The sequence below is a fragment of the Homo sapiens genome, chromosome 1 (assembly GCF_000001405.40).
Source record: "Homo sapiens chromosome 1, GRCh38.p14 Primary Assembly".
Classification (NCBI taxonomy): domain Eukaryota; kingdom Metazoa; phylum Chordata; class Mammalia; order Primates; family Hominidae; genus Homo; species Homo sapiens.
The window spans coordinates 190,728,023-190,743,111 of NC_000001.11; the positions used below are offsets into that span (position 1 = coordinate 190,728,023).

Here is a 15,089-nt window from a genome sequence, read left to right on the forward strand (position 1 = left end):
ATATGTGAATAGTGGTATCTTGTTGTTTTAAATTTAATTGAAATTTAAACAAGCTTCAACACAAATATTATCAATTTAGCTATTTGTCAACTATTTTAATATTAAAATATTATTCAGATTTATTTTATAAACAATTCTCATCAATTTCAATCAGATAAACACCTCATCTCAACATTTCATGCAGGTGAAAATAATTTAACCATACATTATTATTTGATTTTGATTTCAGTCCATATCCTTGTTATTGCCTTACCACAGAATAAGATAATATAAAATATAAAGTTTGATTCCTAATACTGTGAGTTTTCAGATAAATTTAGTTTTTATTGTGAATTGATGATGTATTCTTTCCACAAACTACAGGTATGTTAATATATTAGCAAGATTTTTACCAAATGTAACATTTAAACCTTATACAAGGACTAGACTTCTATGACCTTAATATGTCATTTTATGCTTGCTAGCATTATATATGTCACTTATTGCTTAAGATTAGACTAGCAACGATGTTGTTATGTACAAGAACCCACTACTTTGCTAAGTTGTTTTCCAATCATTTATTACAAATGAATTTTAATTTTAAAAAATATTGAAATTCTAAGACAGAATGTAAATTCCACATTTGCTGGAATATGACTCTTTTTACAAAATATTGTGATTTAATAAAAATGAAACTAACAGCTTTAACTTAATGGTATCAAGCCAACATGAAAATATTACTTTATTTACACAAGTATTCTCAGTTTGTAATGGTAAAAGTTAAAATATGATCAATGACATTATTAAAACTTATTTTGTTGTATGAGCTTTTATGAGAAAAAGAAGAGACAAATCATGTTATAAATAACATTTGAAAAGCTATCCATCAGAGGAGTAAAACAAATGTTTAAATTCTAATCACCTGTACATATTTGTTTTCATGTTAAAGGCAGAATGTTTGAAAGAATAAACTAAATACATTGAAAGCTTTTCCAGATGTGAAACTTTTGCTTCTACTCTTAAGATAACTCACTTTCATTTACAAGATTTGCCATCCTTCCAATTTTACCCAAAGCAGCTCTTCAGAATGTTTGTCAATTTGGCTGTATATTCTGGGAAATATCCTTTTAATATTATGTAGTTTTTTCCTCTAACTCATTCATAATATGTTCAGGCTCAAACTTTACACAAATTTTTTTGGCATGTATAGTATGTATATATTTTATAGGTGAATAAATATTATTTCTATATTAAATTATAGAAATAATATATTTACATAACTATATAAATCTGTATTTTGTCTCTGTATATAAATATATAGATATATTATTTATATCTATAAATCATATTTACATCTACATATTTAAATATTAATATAAAATATATCTATTTAAATATTTACCTATAGTATTCCTATACTTTATATATAGTATTTCTATATATATTGTAGAAATTTATATATAAATTTCTATACATATAGAAATATGATATATAAAATATGGAAATCTATAGATAAATAATATTTATAAAATTAAATATTGTATTTATATTATAAATATAAATATTGTAAATATTTATATAAATATAAATGTTGTAAATATTATATTTATAAAATGTTAAATATAATATTTAAATTTATGTATTATATTTATAAATATAGAAATACTATATATGTACTATTCTTTATTTTTTCTACATATAGTATTCTATATTCTATATAGTATTCCTATAAAAATAAATACTACATATAAAAAAAGATACTATATAGAATATAGACTACTATATACTATAAAAATATAGAATACTATATATAAAGATGGTATTTCTACATTTTAATATAAAAATTATATTAAATAAAATATAATTTATTATCTGGTAACAAATCACTTCCTTTCTTCCTCTCCCATTTACCCTTCTCAGGCTCTAATAACCATAATTCTTCTGTATAATTCTTTGACCTTAATTTTTAGCTCCTACATATTAGTAAGAACATGCAATATTTGTCTTTAAGTGGCTGCCTTATTTGACTTAACATGATGTTCTCCAGTTTTATACCTGTCACTGTGAATGGCATGATTTTATACTTTTTCATGGCAGAATAGAACTCTATTGTATACATTTCTTTATTCATTAATCTGTTGATGGACATTTAGGTTGATCCCATATATTCACTATACTGAATGGTGCTGCAATAAACAGGAGGGTGCGGCTATCTCTTTGATATACTTATTTTCTTTCCTTTGGATAAATACCCAATAGTAGAATTGTGGGATCATATGGTAGTTCTAATTTAATTTTTTTGTTTGTTTGTTTGTTTTTTATTATACTTTAAGTTTTAGGGTACATGTGCACATTGTGCAGGTTAGTTACATATGTATACATGTGCCATGCTGGTGTGCTGCACCCACTAACTCGTCATCTAGCATTAGGTATATCTCCCAATGCTATCCCTCCCCCCTCCCCCCACCCCACCACAGTCCCCAGAGTGTGATATTCCCCTTCCTGTGTCCATGTGATCTCATTGTTCAATTCCCACCTATGAGTGAGAATATGCGGTGTTTGGTTTTTTGTTCTTGCGATAGTTTACTGAGAATGATGGTTTCCAATTTCATCCATGTCCCTACAAAGGACATGAACTCATCATTTTTTATGGCTGCATAGTATGCCATGGTGTATATGTGCCACATTTTCTTAATCCAGTCTATCATTGTTGGACATTTGGGTTGGTTCCAAGTCTTTGCTATTGTGAATAATGCTGCAATAAACATACGTGTGCATGTGTCTTTATAGCAGCATGATTTATAGTCCTTTGGGTATATACCCAGTAATGGGATGGCTGGGTCAAATGGTATTTCTAGTTCTAGATCCCTGAGGAATCGCCACACTGACTTCCACAATGGTTGAACTAGTTTACAGTCCCACCAACAGTGTAAAAGTGTTCCTATTTCTCCACATCCTCTCCAGCCCCTGTTGTTTCCTGACTTTTTAATGATTGCCATTCTAACTGGTGTGAGATGATATCTCATAGTGGTTTTGATTTGCATTTCTCTGATGGCCAGTGATGATGAGCATTTTTTCATGTATTTTTTGGCTGCATAAATGTCTTCTTTTGAGAAGTGTCTGTTCACGTCCTTCGCCCACTTTTTGATGGGGTTGTTTGTTTTTTTCTTGTAAATTTGTTTGAGTTCATTGTAGATTCTGGATATTAGCCCTTTGTCAGATGAGTAGGTTGCGAAAATTTTCTCCCATGTTGTAGGCTGCGTGTTCACTCTGATGGTAGTTTCTTTTGCTGTGCAGAAGCTCTTTAGTTTAATTAGATCCCATTTGTCAATTTTGGCTTTTGTTGCCATTGCTTTTGGTGTTTTGGACATGAAGTCCTTGCCCACGCCTATGTCCTGAATGGTAATGCCTAGGTTTTCTTCTAGGGTTTTTATGGTTTTAGGTCTAACGTTTAAATCTTTAATCCATCTTGAATTGATTTTTGTATAAGGTGTAAGGAAGGGATCCAGTTTCAGCTTTCTACATATGGCTAGGCAGTTTTCCCAGCACCATTTATTAAATAGGGAATCCTTTCCCCATTGCTTGTTTTCCTCAGGTTTGTCAAGGATCAGATAGTTGTAGGTATGCAGCGTTATTTCTGAGGGCTCTGTTCTGTTCCATTGATCTATATCTCTGTTTTGGTACCAGTACCATGCTGTTTTGGTTACTGTAGCCTTGTAGTATAGTTTGAAGTCAGGTAGTGTGATGCCTCCAGCTTTGTTCTTTTGGCTTAGGATTGACTTGGCGATGCGGGCTCTTTTTTGGTTCCATATGAACTTTAAAGTAGTTTTTTCCAATTCTGTGAAGAAAGTCATTGGTAGCTTGATGGGGATGGCATTGAATCTGTAAATTACCTTGGGCAGTATGGCCATTTTCACGATATTGATTCTTCCTACCCATGAGCATGGAATGTTCTTCCATTTGTTTGTATCTTCTTTAATTTCCTTGAGCAGTGGTTTGTAGTTCTCCTTGAAGAGGTCCTTCACATCCCTTGTAAGTTGGATTCCTAGGTATTTTATTCTCTTTGAAGCAATTGTGAATGGGAGTTCACTCATGATTTGGCTCTCTGTTTGTCTGTTGTTGGTGTATAAGAATGCTTGTGATTTTCGTACATTGATTTTGTATCCTGAGACTTTGCTGAAATTGCTTATCAGCTTAAGGAGATTTTGGGCTGAGACGATGGGGTTTTCTAGATAAACAATCATGTCGTCTGCAAACAGGGACAATTTGACTTCCTCTTTTCCTAATTGAATACCATTTCTTTCCTTCTCCTGCCTGATTGCCCTGGCCAGAACTTCCAACACTATGTTGAATAGGAGCGGTGAGAGAGGGCATCCCTGTCTTGTGCCAGTTTTCAAAGGGAATGCTTCCAGTTTTTGCCCATTCAGTATGATATTGGCTGTGGGTTTGTCATAGATAGCTCTTATTATTTTGAAATACGTCCCATCAATACCTAATTTATTGAGAGTTTTTAGCATGAAGGTTGTTGAATTTTGTCAAAGGCTTTTTCTGCATCTATTGAGATAATCATGTGGTTTTTGTCTTTGGCTCTGTTTATATGCTGGATTACATTTATTGATTTGCGTATATTGAACCAGCCTTGCATCCCAGGGATGAAGCCCACTTGATCATGGTGGATAAGCTTTTTGATGTGCTGCTGGATTCGGTTTGCCAGTATTTTATTGAGGATTTTTGCATCAATGTTCATCAAGGATATTCGTCTAAAATTCTCTTTTTTGGTTGTGTCTCTGCCCAGCTTTGGTATCAGAATGATGCTGGCCTCATAAAATGAGTTAGGGAGGATTCCCTCTTTTTCTATTGATTGGAATAGTTTCAGAAGGAATGGTACCAGTTCCTCCTTGTACCTCTGGTAGAATTCGGCTGTGAATCCATCTGGTCCTGGACTCTTTTTGGTTGGTAAACTATTGATTATTGCCACAATTTCAGCTCCTGTTATTGGTCTATTCAGAGATTCAACTAAACTCAGATTCCTGGTTTAGTCTTGGGAGAGTGTATGTGTCGAGGAATTTATCCATTTCTTCTAGATTTTCTAGTTTATTTGCGTAGAGGTGTTTGTAGTATTCTCTGATGGTAGTTTGTATGTCTGTGGGATCAGTGGTGATATCCCCTTTATCATTTTTTATTGTGTCTATTTGATTCTTCTCTCTTTTTTTCTTTATTAGTCTTGCTAGTGGTCTATCAATTTTGTTGATCCTTTCAAAAAACCAGCTCCTGGATTCATTGATTTTTTGAAGGGTTTTTTGTGTCTCTATTTCCTTCAGTTCTGCTCTGATTTTAGTTATTTCTTGCCTTCTGCTAGCTTTTGAATGTGTTTGCTCTGGCTTTTCTAGTTCTAGGGTGTCAATTTTGGATCTTTCCTGCTTTCTCTTGTGGGCATTTAGTGCTATAAATTTCCGTCTACACACTGCTTTGAATGCGTCCCAGAGATTCTGGTATGTTGTGTCTTTGTTCTCGTTGGTTTCAAAGAACATCTTTATTTCTGCCTTCATTTCGTTATGTACCCAGTAGTCATTCAGGAGCAGGTTGTTCAGTTTCCATGTAGTTGAGCGGCTTTGAGTGAGATTCTTAATCCTGAGTTCTAGTTTGATTGCACTGTGGTCTGAGAGATAGTTTGTTATAATTTCTGTTCTTTTACTTTTGCTGAGGAGAGCTTTACTTCCAACTATGTGGTCAATTTTGGAATAGGTGTGGTGTGGTGCTGAAAAAAATGTATATTCTGTTGATTTGGGGTGGAGAGTTCTGTAGATGTCTATTAGGTCCGCTTGGTGCAGAGCTGAGTTCAATTCCTGGGTATCCTTGTTGACTTTCTGTCTCGTTGATCTGTCTAATGTTGACAGTGGGGTGTTAAATTCTCCCATTATTAATGTGTGGGAGTCTAAGTCTCTTTGTAGGTCACTCAGGACTTGCTTTATGAATCTGGGTGCTCCTGTATTGGGTGCATATATATTTAGGATAGTTAGCTCCTCTGGTTGAATTGATCCCTTTACCATTATGTAATGGCCTTCTTTGTCTCTTTTGATCTTTGTTGGTTTAAAGTCTGTTTTATCAGAGACTAGGATTTCAACCCCTGCCTTTTTTTGTTTTCCATTTGCTTGGTAGATCTTCCTCCATCCTTTTATTTTGAGCCTATGTGTGTCTCTGCACGTGAGATGGGTTTCCTGAATACAGCACACTGATGGGTCTTGACTCTTTATCCAACTTGCCAGTCTGTGTCTTTTAATTGGAGAATTTAGTCCATTTACATTTAAAGTTAATATTGTTATGTGTGAATTTGATCCTGTCATTATGATGTTAGCTGGTGATTTTGCTCATTAGTTGTGGCAGTTTCTGTGAAAAGACCAAATCTACGTCTGATTGGTGTACCTGAAAGTGATGCGGAGAATGGAACCAAGTTGGAAAACACTCTGCAGGATATTATCCAGGAGAACTTCCCCAATCTAGCAAGGCAGGCCAACGTTCAGATTCAGGAAATACAGAGAACGCCACAGAGATACTCCTCGAGAAGAGCAACTCCAAGACACATAATTGTCAGATTCACCAAAGTTGAAATGAAGGAAAAAATGTTAAGGGCAGCCAGAGAGAAAGGTCGGGTCACCCTCAAAGGGAAGCCCATCAGACTAACAGCGGATCTCTCAGCAGAAACCCTACAAGCCAGAAGAGAGTGGGGGCCAATATTCAACATTCTTAAAGAAAAGAATTTTCAACCCAGAATTTCATATCCAGCCAAACTAAGCTTCATAAGTGAAGGAGAAATAAAATACTTTACAGACAAGCAAATGCTGAGAGATTTTGTCACCACCAGGCCTGCCCTAAAAGAGCTCCTGAAGGAAGTGCTAAACATGGAAAGGAACAACTGGTACCAGCCGCTGCAAAATCATGCCAAAATGTAGAGACCACCGAGACTAGGAAGAAACTAATTTAATTTTTTTACTAATCTCCACACTGTTTTCCATAATAGCAGTACTTATTTACACACCAACAGTACATAAGTTCCTCTTCCTCTTCATTCTTAGCAGCATTTATTTATTGTCTTTTAGATAACAGCCATTCTATCTATGATGAGATTATATCTCAGTGAGGTTTTGATTTGCATTTCCCTGATGATTAGTGATACTGATCTTTTTTCATAATATATTCATTTTTAAGTATTTAAGATATAGAAAAATTCTATTTGAAATTTTGTATTATCATGACAGTGCTTTATAGGTCAGTAGCCAGAAAGAATTTCTTTATATCATATTTTCTCCCTAATCATTTTATAATTCAGCTGCTTCATATGATTATTTATTTACAAGAATTTAGTTTGGGTATATAATTATTATATAATAAATATGTCTCTGTAATTATTTGAATAATTAATTTTTGAAAATCCTAGGTAAACTTTAAGATGCAGTCTATTAATATCACTTTTTTGTTAATGGATTTGTTTTCTGTCTCATTTTCAATGATTAGTGAATCATTCATAATATGACATAAATTGATCTCAAATACATAAACTATTTTTTTCTTTGAGATAAACACTATTAAACTAGCACAAATATATTTGTTTTAAATGTAAATAGACAGATTATTTTTATAAAAGTAAAACAAATAAATAATCAGTACCTCTACAGAAATTTTTTAAACTCTATTTATCTTAACCTCATATTTTTATCCAAAATAAATATACTTCTTTAATATTATATTTTAAGGGTCAAGATTTCATGACTTAATCTTACATTTTTTTTCCTAAGTTGTTTGGCTCAGAACTAAGCAAACAGGTGCCTTTTAATGTTAGTTGAATTAAATTAAATTAATTTATACAATATCTATTTCAAAATATTCAAAATGTATTTTAAGTTTAAAGAATATTCCATAAAATGTATTCTATATTATTATAAAAATTTCTAAAGGGAAATAAATAAGCTAAAAATGAATATTTGGTAATTTACTCCATATGAATTAATGATCTTTGCTGTAATGAAATTGAGCAAAATATTTATTTGGGAATTTTATAGCTTAAAAATCATATAAAGCAAAGAAACTATAATCATGAGAGTTTAAAAATGGACTTTATCTCTAAGTAGATTTGGACATACTTCTGATAATTTTACATCATTGGAAAAGTGCTGCAGGCCGAAAATTTAAAGCATGATGATAAAATTAGTTAATTTGCCCCTTTGCATTTTCAATTTGGGCATTTTGTATACTTATTTAATGATATGCTAATTTTCTTACATATTTGATTTCTATTGGCTTGATACCACCTTGTTAATCACCTATAGATTTTCTCATAAAATGTTTCCTTTCATGGTGTGCAAACATCTACTTATGAAATTTATTTTAAAACCTATTAAAAGAAATATTATCTAAAGAACACCTGCATCTCTGAGATTCATTTTAAATAGTAATTCTTACTAATCTCCTTAATAACATGAAACGTCTTCCTTATTTGAACAACCTCATTATGCTTCCATTTTAGTGGTCGTCAGTTACATAATGTTATACAACATAATTCAGATGGGAAACAATTTGGTGGCAGAAACAGCTTAGTTTTAAACTCACTGTGTATCAAAACTTTTTGTACATATTAGGTATTACAAGTATTTATTAGATAACAATGCTTAAAAATAACCTAAACATAATTTTTACAGATAAATATTGACCTCCTTTTAAATATTTTATTGTTAATTTCCCAGGTAATAAAACTAAGCAAAAAATGTCAAACATCAGATGGAGCAGAAATAATATACATAATTTTTTACAAATTTGTGAAAACTATCACTTGCTTTCTACCAATTTCATATTTTTCTTTGACTTATTTGACCCATTTTAGTTTATAATTGTCACAATTTATGATGGTCTATCCAAAACAGATCATTTTTTCCCCTCAAAATAAATTTTACCACAAGAGGAAATATCCTTGACTTTAAAAATTTTCAGATTTTTTTTCTCTTATGAACATTTTCTCTCATGAAAACGAAACTGAATTTTTGATGTTTGCAGTTCTCGGAAAATAAGATGCTTCTGCTACCACTAGCAATCTTCTAACGGGTCCAATATTCACAATGAGTGCCCACATTATGCATTCAAATCACTTATTTGCATACTCAAAGAGATACTTATACATGAAAACGGATAATTGCAAATCTAAATATCCACTGGCATGTGAAAATATGCCATTTGCATATGCAGCTTAAATGTCTGTTTCTGAACATGATGTTAATGTGCAGTTATCTGTTCCTTTGTTGATGTGTTGCTCTTCACTCTGAATCTTCCTTTGTTCTTTGTTCTAACAGAAGTTTTTATTTTTGGAATATAGTATTCTGCTCTAGCATTTTTGCTGACACTTATTATTTTTCTATTATCTGAACCATACTTTTTAATCCCATGAATGTATTTTGTGCTATTGCAGAATAAATGCCTCTACGTGAATCACTGCCCAAATCTTGTTAATCTTTACCTCGTCTTCCTCTTAAAATTCATTGTTTTGTTTTTCTTTCTTCATTTTTCCTCAAATTAAAATTTGCTTATCGACTGAAAAAATATATTCCAAATAGAAAAACATTACTTCATGAATTGAACCTCTCACCTCTGCATTACTCTTTTGCGATACCCTTCATTCTGCAAGTCTTCAAGAAGAGAAATTATAATATAGCTTCCCCACAGATTTACCTATCCACTCTTCTATGAATCCCCAAACAAATGACATTTTTATCATTCTGTAATTAAATACTATATTTTCTTTGTCTCTTCAAAACCATTATTTTTCACCTTGATTCCTTTTATTCAATCTGCAAATGTATTTTGAGTACCTCCTGTATCAGACGCTCTTCTAGTTGCTTGTAATACATCAGTGAACAAAACCAAGATTCCTGCGACCTTCTAGTGGAGAAGACAGACAATAAAGAATAAACATCATACATGAATTAATTTTGTAGTATATTAGAAGAGAGTAAATGCTCAGAAAATAAAAAAAATGAAGCAAATTGAGTGGGATTAGAAGAATTAGGGCTGGGGGAGAGAAATAGATGAATTTTTAAAACAATGGACACAGAAAGCCAAAGTGAGATGGTGATATATAAGCAAAGTTGAAGAAAGTTAAGAAAAAGGATATATAGAAGAAAACACTCCAAGCACAGAGAAGACACAGGCAAAAACCAATATTGGAGAGAATGATTGGCATGACAGAAACAGCAGAAGACCAGTGTGATGGGTGAAAAGTGAGAAGAGGAGTAGGACATGAATTCTGGAATAAGTTGTTGCCTCCTTTTTATTTATTTTTTTTTAACTTTTTTGCTTCCCTTAGTCAAAATATCCTACAAAAAGTTACATCATTATACTCACTATGCCTCATTCTTCTTCCTCTCATTTTCACTTAAAATTATTTCTTTCAGGCCTTCTCCTCGACAATGCCGCAGAAACTACTCATCAAATTAAGCAATGAATTCCACATAGATATAGCCAAAGGTCAGTTCTGACTCAGTTCTCATCTTAGGTAAATTATCAGCCCTCTTCCTTCTTGAATCTCTTGCCTCATTTGGCTGGCTTTCTTCTTATGTTACTGGTCTCTCTCCTTCACAGTACATTTGCAGTGGTATTGCTTTAAAATGGAATCTTGATGGAAAGCAGATTAGCGGGTTCAGGGAAATAGATGGGTTGAAAAGAACATTTCAAGTTCTTGAAGCTTTCAAGAAGCTTTCCAATGGAAAAGTAGAAAAGAACCTTCTAGGGATGATGGAAAAATTTTGTATTTTGGTTGTGGTTGTGGTAACATGTCATGTATTTGCAAAAAGTAATCAAAAAAACTACATGAAGTGGGAGTATTTTACTGCATTAAAATATCCCCTTCATAAAGTAAATCACTAAAAAATACTAAAGAACCATAATAAGCCACAGAAAGAGATCTACATTTGTATAGTTTAACTGATTATAAAAAACATACCATGCAAAGCAGCAAAGAAATTTAAAAAATATATAATATAGTTATTGATTTTATATAATTACAAACACATGAATAATATAATTTTAATATTTTATATAATTTTAGATGAAAAATTTATTGAATGAATTTATAAATTTGGTTATATATGATTTATCTCTCTAGACTTTATAAAGAACTCATAATAGTTCAAAAACATATCAATGGATGTTCAGCATTATTAGTTCTCAATTAAATAATGCAAATTAAAATTTCAATTACCTACAACTAATGGGATGGCCAAATTTTCAAATAAGAAAATCTGATTATATGTGTTGGTAAGAATATGGAGGGTGGGACTTATACATTATTGGTAGGAATATAAATATTTCATCACCTTTGTAAAATAATCTGGTGGTGTTCATGCTGCTAAAAGTAGTAAGGGTAGGGGTTTCTAAGGGTGAAATAGCAACTGGACAGTTTTATTCATTTATTTATTTTTTACCATTCAGTGATGGTTATATAGGTATCTTTTGTTTATGAATGTTCATCTAGCTGGATAGTCATAGTTTGTGTAGTTTGTTGTACATTCTACTTTAGTAAAAAAAAAAAAATATGGCAGGTACAATTTTGAAAAAATGCTCCTTATCCATATTGTCAAACTGCTTTATAAAAAGGAATAAAGACATACTAGTTCTAATAGCAATATATAATTATATTATGTCACTGCATATATTAGCACAAGTTTTAACATTTTTAAAAGTTACCAATTAAAAAATTAAAAAGTAACATGTTAGATTGCATTTATGATTATTAAAGAAATAAAAAATGATTATATATGTTGCTTAAATGCAACCTAGTATACTTTGATAAAAATGTAAGTGGAAGTTTTATACATAAATTCTTCCCTTTTTTGGTGGCAATGAAATATCATTTATTCCATATGAACTGACTAAATTCTTTATCTAAGATATTCACAGACGTTTATTTGTTTCTGATGGAAATAAATAGTCCTTCAATTGCTGTAAAGTGCATGCAGATTGTTTCTTTTGCTCAGACAGATACAATTTCTTTTCAATTATTTCCAGCATTTTGCACACCACTGCAAGAAAACAATTAAGGGAATGTTTCAAGAGTGTTTGCTGATATTTCTGTGACATCTTAAATGTGATTAGTTAAGAGGCAGTTTTTAAACGTAATGACCTAAGTGTATGAGATATCTTGGCTGCTACAGAGGTCTTTTTTAAACAAATGTTCACAGTCACCTCATTTGTGTTGATTTTTGAAAAAGTATTGGACATGGAAAGTAGAGTTTAGATTGAAGTGGGAAAAAAATGAAGGCTATAAATTTTGTTTAAAAACAGAATTTTCCATTTAAAATAGATATTCTTGTTTTCTTAATCTGTAGCGAGATTAGAAACAAAAGTAATGATTTTATTGCATGCATTATTTTATACAGCATGATCTAAAACACATGGATCACAAAAATAAAAAAATGCTTAATTTTCGTGGCATACAGTTTTTAAAAGCAAAGATTAGTTTACAATGGAAATTTAAAAAATGAAACAAATAATGTTTTAGAGAGATGTTTTATTAGGTCAATATAAGAAAGATTTAATGCATTCTTCTTTGAAGGCTATAGTTTTCTTGAGATAGATAAGAGCAAAATAACCACAGCATTATTGTTCTTGCTATCTCTAACCATTTTCAAATAGATTAATTTTCTCTATTTGATATGGAACATGATTGCATGAATTTTGAAGATGTTTACTGAAATCTTTTCTATAGAAATGCATAGTCTCATGCTTGTACTTGGTTAGAGCAACTATATACATAGTAAACTGTGTTTATTTCCTTTCATTGTTCAATTCAGATTATTTAAAATAAATAAATATTAGGAACTACTGTTACTATTAGGCACACAGGTATGTAATTAATGCTTGCTTTATGGTTAATATCCCAAATGTCCTCTGCCATACTGAAATACTAATGTAAATTTATATGCCACAGATAAGATATGGATCAACAGGTTTATAATCCCATCTGTGCATCTCACCGGCTACATAATCTTAAAAAACATAATTATGCTCTCTATACATCCTTGTCTCACGTGTAAGATAGACATACTAGTACCAGTCTCAGAGAGTTGTGATGAGGACAGAATTAAATAGTATAAAGCAATAGCATGCTTCCTGGTAAGACTTAGCTAAGAGTCCTAGAAAATTTTATTACTATTTTTATTATTATGATTGTTAGAGATGAAGTTTCGCTCTTGTTGCCCAGGCTGCAGTACAGTGGCGCAATCTCAGCTCACTGCAACATCTGCCTCCCAGGTTCAAGTGATTCTCCTGCTTCAGCCTCCCAAGTAGCTGGGACTACAGGCATTCTCCACCACACCTGGCTAATTTTTGTATTTTTAGTAGAGACAGGGTTTCATCATGTTGGCCAGGCTGGTCTTGAGCTCCTGACCTCAGGTGATCCATCCACCTTGGCCTCCCAAAGTGCTGGGATTACAGGCATGAGCCACCGTTCCTGGCTTGATATTTTTATTATTAATCTATCATATTTATTGTAGATTATTTAAATTATATATACGTATTTATTTTATATTGTTCATCTATGCACCTACATAAACATCACTTATCATACAGGTATGTAAATATAAATTTGTATCAATATCTTCTATCAGTAAGATATCTTGCCATTAAGGCCTTTCTTCTTAATTCAGAATCCCTTTGTATGACAGTGGAAAGGATAACTTAGTTTGCAAATAATATATATAAAAAAGATATATTTTTTTTACCAGAAATATTTGTTTGTTAACTACCATGGAAGAACTGATTGCACTGCTAATGAAGAAATAATTATGATATAGTTGTCAAAAAGTTTCAGGCCTGCTTGGTTACTTTATAGTCTTAATTGTTGTTCCTTCATACGTATTGATAACCCTAGTTAATATTTATCTTTCACTTGGCTCCTAGCAACTTTTGATCCTGCTAGAAATGAGTAAGGGTTCTAGGTGACAATTTTCTTTATAGCTTTTGTTGTTCACTCACCATTTTTTTAAACCTAGTTTCTCTAAGAAAATATTAATATTCTCCATGAAAAAATAAAAAATATTTTTGATATCTTCAGATGAACTCATAAAAGGTGCACAAATTAAGAATTCAACTATGAACTGTACTTACTAATTTGGAAATATCCTCTAAAGTTCCCAACTAAATAAAAATTTAATTGGTTTACTTTAAATTAATGCATTGGTTTTGTAATAATATTCAGTGTTTTGCTCTAAATATTCCACAATTCAAACTTTTTATGATTTTTTTCCACTCAGTTTATTTTTGTAAATAAATCTATAAAAGATATTCTCACTCCTGGGCTTCATAAGAAAGGTTTAGAATATTGTGTTAAGGGTATGATACTGTAAATTATATTAAATAATCAAACAGATTCAATGTATTTTCTGTTCTAAACCTGACTTTACTTCATGATAAATCCATTTTCATTAAAATTTCAAGGGAATAAAAATGTAAAAACAAAATATAACAAAAAAAGAAAAAGAAAATATAACAATACAATTTGTAATATGACCAAACGAGTCACCATGTTTGAATGTATATATGACTTATAGGTCTATTAAAAGTTATATATTTTAGAGTGTAAATATAAGTTTTTATTTTTCTTTATTTTTTATACATGAGCTATTATACATATATGTTTGATTATTTTTGTTATTAGCCTGTTTAATAAATATGTGAAATAATATTGTTTAACAATGAACAATGAATCTATTTTTATGTGTTGACCTAATTCAACAGCAATCAAAATGAGCAAAGATTAGTAAATGCAGATATAATAGACATGACTGAAAGTATTAAACATGATTGTAACTTACATTCCCAAAATGTTGGTTTGTTGTTTGATCCTTTAAAGGAGTTATCTAGAGCAGTAGCTTTCAAACTTTCTTTGTGGTTTTTGACTCAAAATGCAAAAAGATCTGACATATTCTTATAACTATATACACTCAACTAGACACAAAACTTATCAAGCAATACTCTTGTGGACTAAGTTGAAATCACTTTATAAATAATTAGAATGGTTTCTTTTTATACCTCATAATTTGTTAAAGGGAAATCAAAGAAAGGAATTG

General features: G+C 31.3%; 1 long non-coding RNA gene across 1 annotated transcript in view; it reads left to right on the forward strand.

Annotated features, from left to right (window-relative positions):
* The window catches only part of LINC01720 (long intergenic non-protein coding RNA 1720), a 176,769-nt gene that overhangs the window by 103,133 nt on the left and 58,547 nt on the right, over positions 1–15,089 (forward strand). Inside the window, exon 2 of the long non-coding RNA NR_033922.2 lies at positions 10,416–10,488. This is a non-coding gene — a long non-coding RNA (long intergenic non-protein coding RNA 1720). The remainder of the gene's footprint in view (positions 1–10,415; positions 10,489–15,089) is intronic.